Source organism: Homo sapiens, chromosome 10 (assembly GCF_000001405.40).
Source record: "Homo sapiens chromosome 10, GRCh38.p14 Primary Assembly".
Classification (NCBI taxonomy): Eukaryota; Metazoa; Chordata; class Mammalia; order Primates; family Hominidae; genus Homo; species Homo sapiens.
In genome coordinates, this window is record NC_000010.11 from 89,752,930 (window position 1) to 89,775,204 (window position 22,275).

The window sequence follows — 22,275 nt, forward strand, 5'->3', positions numbered from 1 at the left end:
TGTTTCACATATTTAATTCATAAACCACTGCTTCTAATGTCCTTGTGCCCATTTTTCTACTCCTTAAACTTCTTACTCATCAAATACTGCTGTGGAGAAAATGACCATCAGGAGAATTATTTTGATTACTTTAAATCTCTTCAAAGTTTAATTATTGGAATAGAATTGTATATCTGAACACATATAAAACTATACTATATAGAAGGTATTCTATTTTGTGTGTGTGTGTTTTTTTCTTGTTCAGCTTTAACATACAACATATGGGGGAAACTTTTTTTTTCGTAGGATTTACCAAATACTATTTCATTTTGTACATTTTATTAGAAGTGGCATTCATAACAGAAGCTGTAGGATTGAAGGAAACATAATAGTTTTGGGAGATTGTCTGCCTCTAAATTTTTTAAAATTCTGGCTGTGTATTAAACATATGCTGAAAACAAATACAAAAACTACTTTTTTTGTTACATATTATATATTCTAGAATTTACCCTTTTCATTGTGAAATTCCAAAAGCAGTTAGAACAAAATAAATATTATGAAAAAAGTGTATCAACCGTATTGAGAATGTTTGCATTAAAAAGTATTTGTGTATTTTGCATTGTTCTAAGATGATGTAATCACATTAGTGTAGATTATAAACTTTGTAATCCTGGAATGGACTGCCATACTTTGTAATATAGTGATTTTAGAAGTTTTCTTTTCGTTTTTTTGAGACGGAATCTTGCTCTGTTGCCAGGCTGGAGTGCAGTGACGTGATCTCGGCTCACTGCAGCCTCCACCCCCTGGGTTCAAGCGATTCTCCTGCCTCAGCCTCCCGAGTAGCTGGGACTACAGGTACACGCCAGCTCGCCCAGCTAATTTTTTTGTATTAGTAGAGATGGGGTTTCACCATGTTGGCCAGGGTGGTCTTGATCTCCTGACCTCGTGATCCGCCCACCTTGGCCTCCCAAACTGCTGGAATTACGGGCGTGAGCCACCGCACCCAGCCTAGAAGTTTTTTAAGTGGTATTATTATTTTTATTTCAAATGAAGTTCTACTTGGGTTTTTTATATATATTATTAAATGCCTCTGAACCCAAAGAATCTGTGGTACCAGTTTGAAAATTACTGATCAGCAGTATTCTCTGTCCAGCTCTTCTGGATGTTCTTTTAATAAATATCCTGTTGCACAAGTTATTTTTTATTTGGCATCTCGTAGGCCCAGGAATATTTTATTTTTAGAACCATCCAGTTAGAAATGACCACCACAAACAAAGTCTTTTTTATTCTCTTGGCATTTAGGAAGATTTGAGTCAGTTTAACTGTTTCAGAAATTTGAATTATTTATTTTTTCTTAAGGTCACTGATAAAAGTATTTAAATGGACTTCATAGCAAAATTAACTTATAAATGAAATGCGTTTAGGAAAGCAAACCAGTTATTTTATTATTTTTTAAATAATCTGAAGCTTTGATCTTGTCATTGTTTAAAGTGAAACATTAAAGTTTTTATAGAGGTGAAAAGTAATGGATTGTATGAAAATGTTATAGAAACATGTATTGACTACTTTGTAGGCATGCGATAATAACTTATACCATTTATATATACAGGAGTCTGAACAGAAATATAATGCTGATAGAAAGAAATGGTTAGAAGAAAAAATGATGCTTATCACTCAAGCGAAAGAAGCAGAGAATATACGAAATAAAGAGATGAAAAAATATGCTGAGGACAGGGAGCGTTTTTTTAAGCAACAGAATGAAATGGTTAGTAACAATTGTATCTTTGATGTATTTCACCTACTTTCCTTGGTGTGTTAAATGTATTGCTGGAATTAACAGTTTCTACATGGTTTTCTGTTTTTGGTTTTTTAAAGGCAGGTTGTCATCTTTATAAGATAACTTCTGAGCCAATTTATCTTGACATTCACTAATGTTCTTGTTTTAACTTGTTTCAGTTGATTTAGCATGTTGGGAGAATACCTTATTGCTTCTTACTGTCTAGATACTGAAGTAAAAAATCTCTTCCTTTTGACCGTTACAGAGTATTCCCTATTATATTTTAAAACTTTCTGCATTTTGAACTGTAGATTCTAATACTGTGTACATTTTATCACATAAAGTCACCTAAATAGTTTGTAAAAGACTATATATATAGTAGAAATGACCTTCAGTTTTACATTTACTAGCTGTAGGTCTTGTAATGATTGTCTTAGCCTGTTCTTTTTTTCTAATTGGCACTTAGTCTGACATGCCATGTTGGCAATCAGAAAAAAGAAGCTAAACGTTATCGTTAATCCGAGGAAAGCTATTGAGCAACAAATATTTTAAAATGAAAAACCAGTGTCTATAAAAATAGTAACTTCGCAGTATCATATTGTCATCTGTTGGCATTTCCTTTTTTTATGACTGCATTTGACTAAAAACAGTTAAACTTTCCTATAAAAACTGAAAGATTTCCTTCCTTCTTTCCTTCCTTCCTTCCTTGCTCCCTCCCTCCCTCCTTTCCTTCCCTCCCCTCCCCCCTTTCCTTCCCTCCCCCCTTTCCTTCCCTCCCCTCCCCTCCCTCCCCTTTCCTTTTTCCTTTCCTTCTTCCTTTTCTTCATCCTGTCCTCCTTCTTCCTTTCCTTCCTTTCTCCTTTCCCTTCCCCGTGCCCATCCCCTTCCCCTTCCCTTTCCCTTTCCCTTTTCTTTCCTCTTTTAAAGAGACAAGGTCTTGTTCTGTCACCCAGGCTGGAATGCAGTGGTGCAGTCATGGCTCACTGCCGCCTCAGACTTCAGGGCAAAAGCAATCTTTCCAGCTCAGCCTCCCAAGTAACTGGGACTACAGGCACATGCCACCACACCTAGGTAAATCTTTTATTTTTTGTAGGGACAGAGACTTGCTGTGTTGCCCAGGCTGGTCTCAAACTCCTGGTCTCAAGCAGTCCTCCTGCCTCAGCTTCCCCCAAGTGTTGGGATTATGGGTGTGAGCCACTGTGCATTGTACCCGGCCTGAAATGTTAATTTTCAATAAGGTAAGGACAGTTTTTCCACTTTTTTTCTTCCCTAGCTTTAAAGCTGCTTTTAACATTGAATATTGAACAGAGTTGGCCAGTTTTTATTAAAATGAGGCTGTTGTGAGCTAAACTTTCCAGCATGCTTGCTAAACTCCAGACCATACATGTATTCTACTCCAGAAATCAAGCCCTTGGTTGAAGTGTGTGTCCTTTCTGAAGCTAGAGAGTCTACCATTGAATGCTCTGTCCTCATGTCACATGGTGTAAATTTGCTCCCATAAAAAAGTTTACTTTTTCATGAAATCATTTTATTTACAGAATAAATTTTTTGAAATCATTTTATTTACAGAAAAGTTACAGAACTAGCACATAGAATTCCTGTATACCTATCACCCAACCTTCCTGACCCAGTAGTAAGAGGCAATAAGTAAAATCAAAACAGAAGGCTGTCACAGTTGCTCCAATTCCAAACCAGTGGTTTCTCTGGTAGCAATGCCAGCAAGTAATCCCACTTTGAATTTTTAATCCTAGGGAAAGCTAGTTTACTCTTTTCTCTCATATGTTTCTTTATAATCATACTTAGGTTGTGTATGTGTCTGCCATACTTAAGAAACACATTTTTGATGTAATGTTAATTTTTGATGTAAAATTGTAACATATAACATGGAAAGGAAATAGAACATAGTTCAGTGAGTTATTGTGAAGCCAGTACCCACTTAACTAATACCTATTTCAAGAAGAGAACACTGTTCCACCCCAGAAGCTCCTTCTTCTGCCTCTTTTCCAGTGGTAATAACTAATCTGTCCTTCAGTGTTACACTTCAGTTTTGTCTGTTTTTGGGTTTTATGTAAATTGAAATATATGAATACATTTGATTGTACCTGACTTCTTTTCATTCACTATTTTATGTTTGTGAGAATCATCCATGTTTCCATGCATGTATCTGGAGTTAGTCCACTTTCATTTCAGAATATTTAAGTGTATGAATAAACCACTGCTAATTCATTTTAATGTTGAAGATATTTGGATTGTTTTCTGGTTTTGGCTGTTATGAATAAATTTTCCTATAAACATTTTTATACATTTGTTTTGGTGCACATTTGCATATATCTCTGTTGTGTGTGTGTGTGTGTGTATATATATATATATATATATATATATATACACACATGACAATTGCTAGATGATAGGGTATATATATGTGAAATTCTAGTAGAATGCTGCACTGATTTTCGAAGCAGTTGTACCCATTTATACCCCAACTAGTGTTGCAGTAGCTGTATAGTCCCACCAAGGTATGGTATTGTCAGTCAGTTTTTAAAATGGTTTTAATGTGCTTTTCCCTAATTACTGATGAAGTTGAAGATTGTTTCATTTGTTTATTGGCTGTGCCTATACAAGTTCCCTTACCTGTTTCTCTGTTGGATTATCTAGCTTCTTATTTGTAGGAATTCTTTATACTTTTCGGGATAGAAGCCCTTTTTGTAATGTGTTGCAAGTACCTTCTTTCTATCTCTAGTTTGCTTTTTCTTTCTTACTGCCTTTTTATGAGTAGGAGTTCTCATAAATTATTATTGTAGATATGGTAGATATTACAATTATTGTAGATAATTTTATTAGTATTATTGTAGATAATTGTCCCAATATTTTTCTTTATGAAGCCCAAGGACTTGAAGATGGTGTGTTATATTATTTCCTGAAAGCTTTGAAGTTTTTTATCTTTCATATTTAGATACTAGAATTGATTTTTGTGTTGGTGTGAGATAGTGGTCAAAGCTCTTGATGTTTGTTTTAATGTGAATTACCAATTGATGTGGAAATATTTATTGAAAAGACTGTTTCTTTCTCACTGCTGTGCCACTTTTGTCGTAAATCATTTGCCCACGGGTTAATTTTGTATGTGTTGTAAGATTAGGGTTGGGGTTCTTTTTTTTTTTCATTTGGTTATTCTGTTGTTCCAGCCCCATTTATTGGGAAGATTGTCCTTCCTTTTATTTAATTTTTTTGCCACTTTTTTAAGTCAGTTGACCATGCATTTGTAGATCGTCTCTTCTGTCCCATTGATTTCTCTGTCTTTACATGCTGTCTTGATTATTGTGCTAACTTGAAATTATAGATAATTGCTGTCATTTTGTTCTTCATTTTCAAAATAATTTTGAGTATTCTAGATGATTTGCATCTCCATATAATTTTTAGAGTCACCTTTTCCATTTCCACACACATTCACACATACCTGAATTTTGATAAAAACTGCTTTTACTCTCTAGATCTATTTGGAGGAGACATCTTAACAATATTGAGTATTTTGATCCTTCAACACAGACCAATCTCTCTATTTATTTAGGTGTTCTTTAATCTCTTTCAGCAGTATTTTATGGTTTTATACATTTTCTTTATCAGTATTTCATGATTTTTGAACCTATTGTAAATGGTCTTGTTTTCTGTTTTCATTTTTCTGTTGTTTGTTGCTATTACTGTAATTTTACCCACTAATTTTCCAAACGTTGGCAGAAATGTTGATACTAGTTTGAAAGCTATAGCTGTAATTGTGTATTGAAAGAAGTTACCAGTAAGCTGATTTTTGGAATGAGATGGGATATGGATAAAAATAACATGGACATTTAATTTATAAAATGATATGTGTTGTTTTATAGTTAAATATTTTATCTAGACTACTTAATTTGTCTTGTAATCTTGTTTGCAGCTATATTTATGGTGTTACATATAATAATTTCTAAACATTCTTAGATTCATAATATATCAAGGTTGATTTTAATATTTTCTTTATTTCCTGATTAGGAAATACTGACAGCCCAGCTGACAGAGAAAGATAGTGACCTTCAAAAGTGGCGAGAAGAACGAGATCAACTGGTTGCAGCTTTAGAAATACAGCTAAAAGCACTGATATCCAGTAATGTACAGAAAGATAATGAAATTGAACAACTAAAAAGGATCATATCAGAGACTTCTAAAATAGTCAGTAGTCTTTTTTGCTATGCCTTTTTAATTGAACATAGTAATTACTTAATTGACTAACTCTTAAAGAATAAAAAAGTGTAAGTCTCAATAGACCAAAAAGGAATCAGAGTATTTAAAATGTGGAAATTTTTCATGATTTAGAGTCTTGAAATTTATCATTAAGATTGATTTGTCAATCAATGACTGAGATGTAGCATTTTCTCCAATATTTTGGTTATATCTCTCAGTAATTAGAAAATATTAGTATTTCTAATTACTTTGGTAGAGTAATTAGAAAATCAACAATTTATGGTTTAGTCCCCAGTCTGCGTTTAAAATATGGAAATGTGATTCAACATGAACTCTTGGTGATTTTGAATACTTGGGCCCATCCTTAACTTTATTTTATAAAGATACAAATTATTTTGAAAGTAAGCCTAATGGTAGAGAGACATTATGAGTCATTCAGCTGTTACTTTTATATTACCTTGAGACTGGAAATCCTGAAAGAGGAGAGAATTGCCTTTTACAGATAGCTGCTTCCCAGTAAATAGAATCTGGGTACATCTGAAGCTAGTCTTTCTGGAATAATCTGTACTTAAAAATCTTCTGCTTTAAAGCCTTCAGACAATAGGAAAAATATGTATGTGTGTGTCACATCAAAAGACTATTATTGTAAGAGAGATTACTTGCTTTAAAAAGAGGTAGTATTGTGTTGTTTAATAATATATCCTAGAAAGTCAGAAAAACTAGGTATCAACTGCTGTCGCTGTGGTTTTGGGACCTTTGAGAAGAATTACTTAACATTTCTGATCTTTATCTAAAACAGGTAATAGTGTTTTCCTAACAGAGTTGTGAAATTAATGAAGATTGTAAAACAAGTAGCACAGTTCTTACTCCAGTGGAAATCAATATATGCTAGTTACTTTCCCTTTTATGAATTCAGTAGAGTCTTTCTTATTTGGCAGTAATGGGGAGGTGACATAAGAGGTTTACTTGACTTTTGATTTTGATGGCTGTGATGAGGAGGTCTGTGTTACAGTTTATTAAGTTTAAAAATGTAATCTATTTCTTTATAAATCGCCTAAGTAGAGTTTAGAAATAGAACTTTATGACTGAGAAAATAGGAGGAAGAATGTGCTGCAAGAAAAGATTTAGTTTTCCTTATGGTCTTTTGTACTGTAATGCTATAGTTGCATTCCTGAGAAGCCTCCAGTTTTTCAAAATTGTGTTATCAAAAGCAACTGTTGGGATACTGAGCAATTCTAACTCAGTACAGACCTTGACCATGCCATTTAACGTGTGTCGTTCTCTATTTCCTCATCTGGAAAGTAGGAATAATGATTTTTGCCAGACCTACCTGCAGAGTTGCGATGAAAGTAAAGCAAGAGAATGTGGGCAGAACACTTGGAAGTTGCAAGCAGTCTTTCAAATTTCTCCTTAGATCAGAGTCAATAAACTGGAAAGTGACCCAGCCTTTCCTGAGTATCTGAGGTTGAAAGAGAAATAGGAGGGCTAGGTGGTAATTAAAGGTGTCTTTACTTAGTAATTTCCATTGTTTAGTTTCATACAAATCTTGATTTTATATTCTTTATGTGAAGTTTTCTTCAATATATTTTCAGGTTACAATGCCCTGTTGCTTTAATATTTCCTTACTTTAGGAAACACAAATCATGGATATCAAGCCCAAACGTATTAGTTCAGCAGATCCTGACAAACTTCAAACTGAACCTCTATCGACAAGTTTTGAAATTTCCAGAAATAAAATAGAGGTGGGTATTTGGCAGCACAGTCCACTTATTTATTCTCTTTATCCACTATTACTAAATAACACGTACAAGTAAGTTGCTGAAGATACCTTACTGCACAATTAGCTGTGTGTGCTCTGGGCTGTGTGAAAGAAACTAGAGGCTTTTGAGGAGAGGTGAAATTCTTTTGGGAGATTATATGCCCAAATGATGTTAATCTCATCTTAAAAGCAGTAGATTTGTTAATAGAAACAAACTTGATGGTCAGAAATAGGAAATCCTACTAATGAGAAAATAGGGATAATTTGCTCTCATAAAAGGTTGCTTTAATAAACATTGTGTTAAATAGTATTTTTTGGAATTGTATCCATTTAGTAGCTTTGTCACCAGTCTTCAATAACAACTCGTGAGTTTCCTTAATTTGTATTGGGCTTAGGGTTCTGTGAATAACTTTGGATAATATAGAGATTCTTAGGTTGGATATGAAATAGATAAAAATTCTATGTTACTTAAAATTTTTGAAGATAAAATTACTTTTTAAATTTCTTTTTAAAACACATTTATTGGGAGCATTCAGAGTTGGGAACCTTTTTAAGCACTGAGGATACGAACATCAATAAGACATGATTGTCATCCTCAAGGAGTGAAGAATCTAGTAAGGTAGATACATAAGTGAATGACTTGTTTGATTTTACTTCATGGGCTAAGTGTTATAGTAGAAATATAAAGTGAGTACTCCAAGGAACACTGAGGAAGATGAAATGAATTTTGCCTGAGTGTTTGTGGAAATGGATTAAAGAAGGTGATACCATATTGTATCTTATGAATGGAAGCTTATTAAGCAGACAATGAGAAGGAAAAGTCTTAAAAAAAAAAAAAAGAAATGGGGTTTCACTATGTTTCTCTGGCAGCTGAACTTGAACTCCCAGGCTCAAGCAGTCCTCCTGCCTCAGCCTCCTGAGTAGCTGGGACTACAGGCATGTGCCACCATGGCCAACTGAGAAGGACATTTTAATCTGGGAAAATAACATGAGCCATTCATTTTCTCTTGGTTTTTCCTTGACAGTTCTTAGTAGTTTCAAATAATTAGCACTAACCTTGGGGACTAATACAAATCATAAATTTCACAGAAAAGTTTGAAGTTTATCCATAAACAAGGCTTAATTCTTGATTGCATGGACAAACACATATAATGGAACATTTCTTTCTCCATAAATTTATGTATGTTGTCCTAAAACCTCCTGGTTCCAATTTTCTAATTCCAGCAGTTATTTTATATTCCACAATTTGGGGAATCATATTGTTAGGCTATTTTGTATGTTCTTGCCTTCATGTAATCGATATACTTAACTGGGCTGAAAGTCCAAAATGATTAATTCAGTTAACTGGTAGTTGATTCTGGGAATTCCACTGGACTTAATTTGTGGTCTCTCCCTGTGGATTGGACCTCTCATGGCATGGTAGCTGGTCTGAGATGGGGCATTTTGAGGGTGAGTGTCCTGAAAGTGTTCTAAGAGGACAGGACAGAAGTTGTAATGCTTCTTATGATTGAGCCTTAGAGGACCATAATGTTATTTCTACCACATCCTATTGGCTATAAGGCCCAAATTCAAATAGAGGGGAATGAGAGACTCCATCTCTCAATGGGAAGAGTAGCAAAGTATTTGCAGCCTACTTCTTTAATATAACCAGGCTGTTTGTCAAAGATCTCAGCCTCCTCCCTTGGAGATTTCTGATTTACTGGGTTTGTGGTAGAGTCCAGGAGTCTTTTAAACAAATTCTGTAAGTAATTCTTATGATCATACAAGTTTGGGAAATAGCGATGTTACCCCTAATTTTAACATACCATGTGTGAGCCTGAAGAAAGTAGATGATTGCTCAATCTTTCTGTTCTTGCTGTGATCTAGCACGCTTTTTGTCTTTCCCAATGCATTGTCTTGGATAGGCATTTGAGAGAATTAATTCTTTGTGGTTTATAAATGTATACTCTACAAATAATATTTTTCCTTTTACATTCTGTTGTAGGATGGATCTGTAGTCCTTGACTCTTGTGAAGTGTCAACAGAAAATGATCAAAGCACTCGATTTCCAAAACCTGAGTTAGAGATTCAATTTACACCTTTACAGCCAAACAAAATGGCAGTGAAACACCCTGGTTGTACCACACCAGTGACAGTTAAGATTCCCAAGGCTCGGAAGAGGAAGAGTAATGAAATGGAGGAGGTAAATACTTAAGTGATGAGTAAATTTAATGAACAAATCTTATTATAAAGCTGTTATAGTATAGAGTTAAACTGCTATATTGCCCTCCTGTTCATAGGCACTGCTGTTAGAGACCAAAATCACAATTTATGCTATATTTTATACCCTTTAAGGATATCACTGTGGGCCAGGCGTGGTGACTCATGCCTGTAATCCCAGCACTTTGGGAGGCTGGGGCTGGCGGATCACTTGAGGTCACGAATTCAAGACCAACCTGGTCAACATGGTAAAACCCGTCTCTACTAAAAATACAAAAATTAGCCAGGAGTGGTGGTGCACACCTCTAATCTCAGCTACTCAGGAGGCTGAGGCAGGAGAACAACTTGAACCCAGGAAGTGGAGGTTGCAATGAGATGAGATGGCACCACTGCACTCCAGCCTGGGTGATAGAGCGAGACTGTCTCAGAAAAATAAAGAATATTACTGTGGTTTAATGGTCTTCAGATAAAAAGCTATGTATATTAAAAGATATAGCGTCCTTGCTTCAGTTAAACTATAATACATCAAATGATGGTGGATTTTACTGGAGAGCCATTTCAGTATACCAGTCCTGTTCATACTTAGTCACTTTCCCTGTATTGGAAGAGAAAAGAGGGTTATGTAGAAATCAGAGAAACTGAAATAGCTAACTTGCTTGTGTATAATCTTTGTCATTTAACTAAAATCTTGTCTGTATGGTCCTAGCAAGTTTTAAAAGAGAAATTCTTTTTTCATCAGCCAGTGTTAAAATTTGGGCCTCTATGTAGTGGTAGGCTAAAAGCTATTAACCTCTTCTTACTGCAGTTTCTTGATTGAAGGGTTGCCAAACCTACCATGTCCTAGATGTGGAGATTTGGCAAGTCAGATGAGGTTTCTGATCCTGTTTTCTCCTTTTTGGAACAATGGATTAATGTGTTGAAAATGCTTCGCTTTTGCTCTGCAAGTGGCAGTTACATTTATTAATATAACTATTATTACTATTTATTAATAGTTACTATTAATATTTATTAATAGTATTATTTATTTATATATTTTTATTTATTTATTTATTTATTATTATACTTTAAGTTTTAGGGTACATGTGCACAATGTGCAGTTTAGTTACATATGTATATATGTGCCATGCTGGTGTGCTGCACCCATCAACTTGTCATTTAGCATTAGGTATATCTCCTAATGCCATCCCTCCCCCCTCCCCCCACCCCACAACAGTCCCCAGAGTGTGATGTTCCCCTTCCTGTGTCCATGTGTTCCCATTGTTCAATTCCCACCTATGAGTGAGAACATGCGGTGTTTGGTTTTTTGTCCTTGTGATAGTTTACTGAGAATGATGATTTCCAATTTCATCCATGTCCCTACAAAGGACATGAACTCATCATTTTTTATGGCTGCATGGTATTCCATGGTGTATATGTGCCACATTTTCTTAATCCAGTCTATCATTGTTGGACATTTGGATTGGTTCCAAGTCTTTGCTATTGTGAATAGTGCCACAATAAACATATGTGTGCATGTGTCTTTATAGCAGCATGATTTACAGTCCTTTGGGTATATACCCAGTAATGGGATAGCTGAGTCAAATGGTATTTCTAGTTCTAGATCCCTGGGAATCGCCACACTGACTTCCACGATGGTTGAACTAGTTTACAGTCCCACCAACAGTGTAAAAGTGTTCCTATTTCTCCACATCCTCTCCAGCACCTGTTGTTCCCTGACTTTTTAATGATGGCCATTCTAACTGGTGTGAGATGGTATCTCACTGTGGTTTTGATTTGCATTTCTCTGATGGCCAGTGATGATGAGCATTTTTTCATGTGTTTTTTGGCTGCATAAATGTCTTCTTTTGAGAAGTGTCTGTTCATGTCCTTCGCCCACTTTTTGATGGGGTTGTTTGTTTTTTTCTTGTAAATTTGTTTGAGTTCATTGTAGATTCTGGATATTAGCCCTTTGTCAGATGAGTAGGTTGCGAAAATTTTCTCCCATTTTGTAGGTCACCTATTCACTCTGATGGTAGTTTCTTTTGCTGTGCAGAAGCTCTTTAGTTTAATTAGATCCCATTTGTCAATTTTGGCTTTTGTTGCCATTGCTTTTGGTGTTTTAGACATGAAGTCCTTGCCCATGCCTATGTCCTGAATGGTAATGCCCAGGTTTTCTTCTAGGGTTTTTATGGTTTTAGGTCTAACGTTTAAGTCTTTAATCCATCTTGAATTGATTTTTGTATAAGGTGTAAGGAAGGGATCCAGTTTCAGCTTTCTACATATGGCTAGCCAGTTTTCCCAGCACCATTTATTAAATAGGGAATCCTTTCCCCATTGCTTTTCTCAGGTTTGTCAAAGATCAGATAGTTGTAGATATGCGGCGTTATTTCACAAGCATTCTTATACACCAATAACAGACAAACAGCCAAATCATGAGTGAACTCCCATTCGCAATTGCTTCAAAGAGAATAAAATACCTAGGAATCCAACTTACAAGGGACTTGAAGGACCTCTTCAAGAAGAACTACAAACCACTGCTCAATGAAATAAAAGTGGATACAAACAAATGGAAGAACATTCCATGCTCATGTGTAGGAAGAATCAATATCGTGAAAATGGCCATACTGCCCAAGCTAATTTATAGATTCAATGCCATCCCCATCAAGCTACCAATGACTTTCTTCACAGAATTGGAAAAAACTACTTTAAAGTTCATATGGAACCAAAAAAGAGCCCGCATCGCCAAGTCAATCCTAAGCCAAAAGAACAAAGCTGGAGGCATCACGCTACCTGACTTAACTATACTACAAGGCTACAGTAACCAAAACAGCATGGTACTGGTACCAAAACAGAGATATAGATCAATGGAACAGAACACAGCCCTCAGAAATAACGTCTGTTAAGTATTTTATTTCTCCTTCACTTATGAAGCTTAGTTTGGCTGGATATGAAATTTTGGGTTGAAAATTCTTTTCTTTAAGAATGTTGAATATTGGCCCCCACTCTCTTCTGGCTTGTAGAGTTTCTGCCGAGAGATCCGCTGTTAGTCTGATGGGCTTCCCTTTGTGGGTAACCCGACCTTTCTCTTTGGCTCCCCTTAACATTTTTTCCTTCATTTTGACTTTGCTGAATCTGACAATTATGTGTCTTGGAGTTGCTCTTCTCGAGGAGTATCTTTGTGGCGTTCTCTGTATTTCCTGAATCTGAATGTTGGCCTGCCTTGCTAGATTGAGGAAGTTCTCCTGGATAATATCCTGCAGAATGTTTTCCAACTTGGTTCCATTCTCCCCGTCACTTTCAGGTACACCAATCAGACATAGATTTGGTCTTTTCACATAGTCCCATATTTCTCAGAGGCTTTGTTTGTTTCTTTTTATTCTTTTTTCTCTAAACTTCCCTTCTCGCTTCATTTCATTCATTTCATCTAAAAAGCAGAGCGCCTCTCCTCCTCCAAAGGAATGCAGTTCCTCACCAGCAATGGAACAAAGCTGGAAGGAGAATGACTTTGACAAATTGAGAGAAGAAGGCTTCAGACGATCAAACTACTCCGAGCTACAGGAGGAAATTCAAACCAAAGGCAAAGAAGTTGAAAACTTTGAAAAAAATTTAGACTAATGTATAACTAGAAAAACCAATACAGAGAAGTGCTTAAAGGATCTGATGGAGCTGAAAGCCAAGGCTCAAGAACTACGTGAAGAATGCAGAAGCCTCAGGAGCCGATGCAGTCAACTGGGAGAAAGGGTATCAGTAATACTTATTTTTAAAGTAACTTGTTTTAAGCTTAAAACTAATTACAAACTCTCTAGCAAAATAATTTTTCTTCAACTTTCTTTTACTTCTTTGAAGAGTAGTATATTTTCAAGCTGATGTAAGAGCAGAAATAGTATTAACTATACTCCTGAGGCTCTCTGTCAGGTAATAATTTTGCTGAGTGAATATTATTCAGCATAGTTTTTCTGCTACACATGTAACACCTTTAGAGATTGTTTTATGGAGTCTTACTAGTTAACTTTTGTTTTATATTTATTTAATTTTTTAAAATAACATTAAAACACTGAGTTTCATCATCTAGTTGGCTTTTTCTTGATCCATTTTTTTTCAACGAAGAAGGAAACACCGAGTGTAGTTCTCAAGAAGGTTAAAATATAAATATTTTATTAATTTTACTATTGGCATATATCCCTCATGTATATTTCAGAAAAGATTTACAGATTGTTGTAGATACATCATGTAGAAACTTTAAATTTTCTAACTGATTTTACTCAATCTTCACTGCTATAATAAACTAAGTACATGGGCCCCCATGAAAATCATTTATGCAATCCTATTTTCTTTTTTTCTTCCACATACTCTTTTTTTTTTTTTTAATTACTAAGTTCTGTGGTATGTGTGCAGAATGTGCAGTTTTGTTACATAGGTATACACATGCTATGGTGGTTTGCTGCACCCATCAGTCTGTCACCTACATTAGGTATTTCTCCTAATGCTATCCCTCCCCTAGCCCCCCACCCCCCGACAGGCTATATTCTAATCCAGTGAAGACTCCAAAGAGCTCCTTACTGACCACTATGTGTGGAGGTAGCCTCATGGTCTCTTTTCACTGGCATCCTATGATTACCATCTGTCTTTTCCCTGTCATGGTGTCTGCTTCTTATGACCCTTATAACTTCTGCTTTGTAATTTGGATTCTGAGGTTCAGTCATGATCTTTTCTCTGCTTCTCTTCTTGCCCCCTTTTTCCTGAACTTTTATCTTTGGTACAACTAGGATTTGCAGCAGTTCAAGTCAGTGAGTATATCTGTAAAGGGCTTTGTCCTATGTGAGGTTATTTGGGGAAAAGAAGAGTAAGATGCCATACCCATGTTGTAGAGAAGAAAGATAATATTTTAAAAGTTTTAACATTTTACCTTTGGTTATTTGAAGTTTCGTTTTTATTTTATTTTTGATATTGTCAAATGTCAATGAGAGAACTTAGACATAGATGCTTGTATTATTTGGGAGTTAGGCAATAGGTAGGTATATTGTATGCTGTATTTTAAAGCTCAGTTTCAAATAAAAGATATTCCTTCCATGTTTTTCATTTAGCTTATGTAATTTCATTACTTGTGATATGTTTGAAAAATTCACACCTTCAGTCAGGGTTTCTCAACTCCAGCACAGTTGACATTGTGGGCTGTATACCTCTTTGTTTTAAGGGCTATCTATCCTGTGCATTGTAGGGATGTTTAACAGCATTCCTGACCTCTACCCACTCGTGGCCAATAATATCCCCTTCTCCCTGGCAAAGACAACCAAAAATATCTTCAAACATTGCCATTGTCCTCTGAGTTCAAAATTGCCCTCGGTTAAGAGTCACTGTTTTAAGTGATAATGTAGCTTTTTACAAATTTTCTTTTTTGAGTCTAGAGAAATAAAATATTGTCAAGAAATTAACTGGTGCTAAAATTCATTATTTTTAGGACTTGGTGAAATGTGAAAATAAGAAGAATGCTACACCCAGAACTAATTTGAAATTTCCTATTTCAGATGATAGAAATTCTTCTGTCAAAAAGGAACAAAAGGTGTGTCTTTTAATTTGTCCAAAATTGTAGCAATTATCCAGAAATCCAGTTGTGTTCAATTATAACTCATTTATCTTCTCTTTCCTATACATCTGATTCAGTTGAAATGTAACCTTTAGCATTTGGCCAGTAGCATCTACTTTATGTGTTTACTTCTGACTTTAACACTCTGCCTGTCAAACTCTTTTTGCCATTGTCTGACCCTTTTATCCCTGTCCTTACATACTTAAAGTTTCCTACCTGAGAATTCATAACCTGTCTCTGGCCTCTTTAATTCAGCTGTGGCCATAACTATTTCCTTCTAACACTTCTCATCAACAATAACAAAAAATGTTTTGTTTATTAGGTTGCCATACGTCCATCATCTAAGAAAACATATTCTTTACGGAGTCAGGCATCCATAATTGGTGTAAACCTGGCCACTAAGAAAAAAGAAGGAACACTACAGAAATTTGGAGACTTCTTACAACATTCTCCCTCAATTCTTCAATCAAAAGGTTTGCAGAAAATTAATTAAATGACCTTTTTTTGTTAGATGTTGGGTATATTTTAATACCTAATTGATATATAAACTCAACAGCTGTTCAGGGAATATTATACTTCAAATAGGCATTGTCCTATACTAGGTACTGTGGGAAGAAACATGTAAAAGGATGATAGATCTAGGTGTTCGCTATGTAGTAGAAGAGAAAGGCTTGTATTTAAGTAACTGATCCAGAGCAGGCTACTTAATATAGTAATAGGGGTATAAGCAAAGGTATGATAGTATTGGAGGGAAAAGAGCTACTCTGATTAGGGGGCTTTGGGAAGGTTTTTATGGGAGAGATGGGATTTATCCTGTGTATTGAAATGTGGGCAGGAGTACACTCTCTAGGGTGTCCAAGGGTGAGAATACAGTCATGGGTTCTTAGTTTCTGTTTTTGGTTGGGGCAGGAAATCCCCTTCCTCATCCCTGTTTTCTGCTTATCACTAGAGACAGAAACTAAAAACCATGGCTTCAGGCCGCTAAAAGCCTAAAACAAAACAAAACAAAACAAAACAGAACAAAAACAACAACAAAATAAGGTGGGTTGGACAAGTTTGCCAGTATTAGTATTATGGTATATATCCTCCTAGTGTTTTTTTTTCTGTGCATATGTAAACATTATCTGTTTATGTACAATATGTCAAAAACACATTATTTTCATAAATACCTATTGAGTTTAGCTGCAGAAACAGTATGCTTAGTGCTTTTTTTCTTGATAATATAATGTGGACATATTGATACCTGTGTATATGTTAAGATATATACACATGTGTGCACATATGCGGAAGGAATGGTTTTAACACAGGTGGAGTATCAGAAAAATGTAGGAAATGTTCATGCAATTACAGGCAGCAATACACATCTGGCATGTAGAATGTGGAAGGACTATCTTAGGGGTGAGATGGAGTAGTGGGTTTTTGTGAGGTTACCTGAATGACAGCAATAGGATGAATTAGAGACCAGAGTGAGGGGTATAGGGAAGGAAAGGAACTAGAAGCAGGGGGCAGTTAAATTGAATCAAATATGTTGTGTGAAAATACTTTTTGTCGAAGGCTTACCACAGACGTTTCCAAACTTTGTTGGTTCACAGTGCCCTTAATGTCTCAGTAATTAATTTCCATTTTGCCTCTGCACCCAAAGAACCACTAGTAGTCTCATGCATTAGAACTTAAGACCAAACAACCACTGAAAATTCAGCTTCTGAAAATCCAGATTGCAAAGATAATGTCATAATGAAAAGAAATGTAATTCAGTATCGTTTTGAAATTGAACTACCTTGGGCTATTGAGCATCACTATTTTCCCTGAAGATTGAAAATATCCTGAGGTGCTTCTGTAAGTTTGCTGCAGCATGCCTTAGTACACAGTTTGGGAACTTCTGACCTATCAGACCCATTTGTATATTTACATACATTTAAAAAAATATGTACATTTAAAAAATGTGTTTGTATAAACAGAAAATATCTGGAGGGACAAACAGCAAACTGTTAAATATCTAAATTTGGAGAGGAGGGACATCTTTCTTTAGAGTCCTTTAGGCTTACTACCACTTTTATATTAAAAAGAAATATATTTTCAAGGAGAGGTAGGTACCTATAATAAGTATGTAATCAGATAAGGGTAATGATTCTCTTACTTCATTGACTTGGTTCCTTAACAGCTTCCCTACCAATGCACTTGACATACATTTTTTTTTTCCTTTTTTCTTTTTGTTTTTACTTATTTCTAGAAATATAAGATATCCCTATTTTGAACTGTAACTGTAATACATATTTGTTGTTTTGGGTCACTTGGAAATATAGAGAGAAAAGAAAAAATGGAGATTAATTTTTAAAATTCTGCTGCTCTGATAACCACTGTTAATCCATCACTTAGTATCACTGGTCTCCCAGCTTGCCCCTCTTGTCATCTCCCATCCATTCATACATGACAGAATGTTCTTTTCAAAGTGCAGATTGAATTATGTTACTCCTCTGATCCTTTAATGATTTCTCATTCTTCTGAATGACCTGATTTCTGACTCTCTCCAATCTATCTCTTATTATTCTACGGTTTGATAACTAGCCAGCTTCAATCCTGCTAACTTCTGACAGTTCCTAGAATTTGCCAGCTTCTTTCTTACCTTCATATCATTGATTTCTTTTGCTTTTTCCTGTGCTTTCTTTTATCTGGAACACACCCTGGCTTTTGTCTTAGCTGGCCCCTTACCCTTGAGCCCTCATAGCTGATGGAACGTTATTAGGGAGACACCTTCCTTCATCACCCTGTCACTACCCCTCATCCCCAGCATCACTTAATCTTTATTATTCAATCCTATTTTTTGTCTTAGCACTTTTTAAACTGTAATTCTTTGCTTTCTTATTATCTTTTACACTAGAATATAATCTGCACGGACAAAATGTCTGTCTAGTTCATACTGTCAGCTCTTAGTATAGTGGCTAGCACATAGTAGTGATGAGTTTGGCTCTAGGCCAACATATGTATGATTTTTAAACATTTCTATTTTTTTTAGGCTGTACCATAGGCAATTACAAAGACTTACCTGACAAGCTTCCCTTCCTACACCAGACTTGATGCATAGCCAATGCATTATAATCTCTTAAGGGAGTTATAGTCAAGGATCCAGCATCCCCCAAGCTAGTCATGCTCTTACTCATATTTGCATATTTAGCCTGAGTGCCTCCATTCAGAGCCTCTTTATTGAGGCCTTTGGTGGAGGCCTTCTTATGGAGGGGAACAGGAGGGGGAACCTTGAAGACGCTTTTCTCCACTGTAACTCGGTACTTTTCCACGTATAGCTCCCTCCAACCTCCAGCCCTGAGGTCTATAAAACTGCGAGAGCCTTTTGTTTGGGGCTGCCTGGGTGGTAAAATGACCACCACTTCTATGCTGATCTGTATTATTCTGTGGTGGACTATAGAAGAGGGTGGGTAGGAGCTGGTGCTTTCTCAGGTTTAGTCTCTCGCATATACTGTTGAAATAAGTGGTTAAAAAGCTGGGTTGTTACTTTCATTTTGGCTTGTTGTCTTAACTGGCTTCTCCGATACCTGGACTCTCAGCTCTCTCAAGCCCAGCTCAGCCCTTAACAAGTAGTCTTCTCAATTTAGTCTAATGCCTTAAATGTTTTTTCTATTTAAAAAAAAATATTTGATATCACATGTGTGTGAATTTCTATCCAGGAATTTTCCCACATGGAAATATGTTTTCTATTAAAAAAAAGTACTATGTACTATGTACATAGTAAGGAATTTAAAAATTCCTATTCTACTTCCCTAAAAGCAATCAGCTGTTAACAGTTTGGTTTCTCTCCATTTGTGTGTGGACTTGAAGTAAAGGGTTTACAAAGTATTTTCATGCAGCATTCATTGTGCATAACTTTATGCATGAGCATTGAACTAGATCATCTACCACCTTATTTTTAATGCTGCATGATCCACTATGTATATATCCTGCTCTTTTGCTTAACATAGCATAAACATTTTCCAAGTCATTAAAGATGCCTGAGGTTTTTTACTACATTGAACATTAATCAAATGATACTTTATTTGCTTTTTTTTTGCTGTCGATCATTATTTCATGTTCTCTTGACATTTACTTTTTTTCTTTGTGATTTGTCTATTCATGCCCTTTCACCATATATATATTGCAGTGTTTTTAGTTTGTGTATGTTCATTCTTTATTAAGGATTTCAAACCATCTTTATTAAGGATTTCAAATCACCTTTGCAATTAGAAAATTATTTCAGGAACTAATTAACAATTTTATTTTATAGCAAAGAAGATAATTGAAACAATGAGCTCTTCAAAGCTCTCAAATGTAGAAGCAAGTAAAGAAAATGTGTCTCAACCAAAACGAGCCAAACGGAAATTATACACAAGTGAAATTTCATCTCCTATTGATATATCAGGCCAAGTGGTAAGCTAGTATTTCTGTTTTCATCAATGTAGAACTGTTCGTGTTCTTTTTAATTTTTTACAGTGGTTTGAATTTCAATTCTTTAGATCTCTGAAAACACATGCTATAAAGGTCATGCTTTTAGTCTCACATGTGTTAAGTTTATACTAATTAAATATAAATACTGTATTAAATGTATATAAGCGTCATGCATTTGCATTTGAAAATGCATCAGAGGAATTTATTTCCAATAATAGAATTGTCACTATTTAGTAACTTATTTGCCTCCACAATCTTTTTTTCTTTTTCTTTCTCTTTTTTAAATCACGGGAGTTGTACAAATCTGGGCCCAAGTGTTCCTGGTAAAAATATAAAACTGACATTCAGCCATTTCCTCCCACCTTTCCCCTAAGCCTTTGAGGATCTATTAGGAAGAGACTGTAGTTATCACCCTGAGTCTATGATTCATTCTCCTGATTCAGAACAGTATGTGCTGTCACAGGGAAAGCTCAAATTTTCTGTCATGCTTGCATTTGCTTAGTGGATGAAAGTGAAGGTAAAAAAATAATTAAAAGAAATTAAAAAAATTAAAAAGAAGTGGCCAAGAAAAATCAGGAGAAACCTTTTTTGCCACAAGAGCTTTCAGATATGAGATTGACACTTGAATGCAAGATGTAAAGAGTTAGGGTAAATTAGGGCATGGTGTTGTAAGTACCATTCTGTCAGTCATTTTTGAGCATCTGTTTGATTAGTACCTGATTTCTTCCCTTGGCTGAAAATTGTTTTCTTAGTTACTATATAATGTGCTTTCTACTTTCTAAGTTATACATTTGTTGCCACGAAAGATCATTTCTTAAAAATTATTTGAGGCACTTGTCTCCAAATATTTTAGTAATTATTTTAAGTTATATCTGCCTTGAATTCAATATGGAGTCTAGGTTATTTTACTTCTAGAATTTGATAGTGTTGAATCTTTTACAAAGTCTGTTTTTTAAATAAATTTTTATAGAAGATGGCATATCTGTAGTCTAAGTAAAAAAAATTCTCCAATGTATCATTTCAGTTACTAAGCACATGAACATGTCTTACTCATTATAAACAAGCTTTTATTTTTATTTTCACTTACAAGCTTTGAAAAACTATGAAATTTTTAATTTCAGATTTTAATGGACCAGAAAATGAAGGAGAGTGATCACCAGATTATCAAACGACGACTTCGAACAAAAACAGCCAAATAAATCACTTATGGAAATGTTTAATATAAATTTTATAGTCATAGTCATTGGAACTTGCATCCTGTATTGTAAATATAAATGTATATATTATGCATTAAATCACTCTGCATATAGATTGCTGTTTTATACATAGTATAATTTTAATTCAATAAATGAGTCAAAATTTGTATATTTTTATAAGGCTTTTTTATAATAGCTTCTTTCAAACTGTATTTCCCTATTATCTCAGACATTGGATCAGTGAAGATCCTAGGAAAGAGGCTGTTATTCTCATTTATTTTGCTATACAGGATGTAATAGGTCAGGTATTTGGTTTACTTATATTTAACAATGTCTTATGAATTTTTTTTACTTTATCTGTTATACAACTGATTTTACATATCTGTTTGGATTATAGCTAGGATTTGGAGAATAAGTGTGTACAGATCACAAAACATGTATATACATTATTTAGAAAAGATCTCAAGTCTTTAATTAGAATGTCTCACTTATTTTGTAAACATTTTGTGGGTACATAGTACATGTATATATTTACGGGGTATGTGAGATGTTTTGACACAGGCATGCAATGTGAAATACGTGTATCATGGAGAATGAGGTATCCATCCCCTCAAGCATTTTTCCTTTGAATTACAGATAATCCAATTACATTCTTTAGATCATTTAAAAATATACAAGTAAGTTATTATTGATTATAGTCACTCTATTGTGCTATCAGATAGTAGATCATTCTTTTTATCTTATTTGTTTTTGTACCCATTAACCATCCCCACCTCCCCCTGCAACCGTCAGTACCCTTACCAGCCACTGGTAACCATTCTTCTACTCTGTATGCCCATGAGGTCAATTGATTTTATTTTTAGATCCCATAAATAAATGAGAACATGCAGTCTTTGTCTTTCTGTGCCTGGCTTATTAACATAGTAATATCCAGTTCCATCCATGTTGTTGCAAATGACAGGATTTCATTCTTTTTTTACAGCTGAATGTTTATGTCCCACATTTTTTTATCTAGTCATCTGTTGATGGACACTTAACTTGCTTCCAAATCTTAGCTATGGTAAACAGTGCTGTAACAAACATAGGTGTGCAGATATCTCTTCTATTTCCTTTCTTTTGGGTACATACCCAGCAGTGGGATTGCTGGACCATATGGTAG

At 35.1% G+C, this 22,275-nt stretch overlaps 1 protein-coding gene across 5 annotated transcripts in view; it reads left to right on the plus strand.

The window, feature by feature from the left end:
- The window catches only part of KIF20B (kinesin family member 20B), a 73,345-nt gene extending 51,340 nt beyond the window's left edge, over nt 1-22,005 (plus strand). For all 5 annotated transcript variants that reach the window (NR_168374.1, NR_168375.1, NM_001284259.2 and 2 more), the window contains 8 exons: nt 1,589-1,744; nt 5,777-5,953; nt 7,597-7,707; nt 9,709-9,906; nt 15,361-15,462; nt 15,809-15,959; nt 19,760-19,902; nt 21,042-22,005. Coding sequence is in view for 3 of the 5 variants with exons in the window: in NM_001284259.2 (NP_001271188.1) it covers nt 1,589-1,744; nt 5,777-5,953; nt 7,597-7,707; nt 9,709-9,906; nt 15,361-15,462; nt 15,809-15,959; nt 19,760-19,902; nt 21,042-21,119 (1,116 nt within the window). In the remaining 2 variants the exon portion in view is untranslated. The remainder of the gene's footprint in view (nt 1-1,588; nt 1,745-5,776; nt 5,954-7,596; nt 7,708-9,708; nt 9,907-15,360; nt 15,463-15,808; nt 15,960-19,759; nt 19,903-21,041) is intronic.
- Nucleotides 22,006-22,275: the final 270 nt, after the last annotated feature.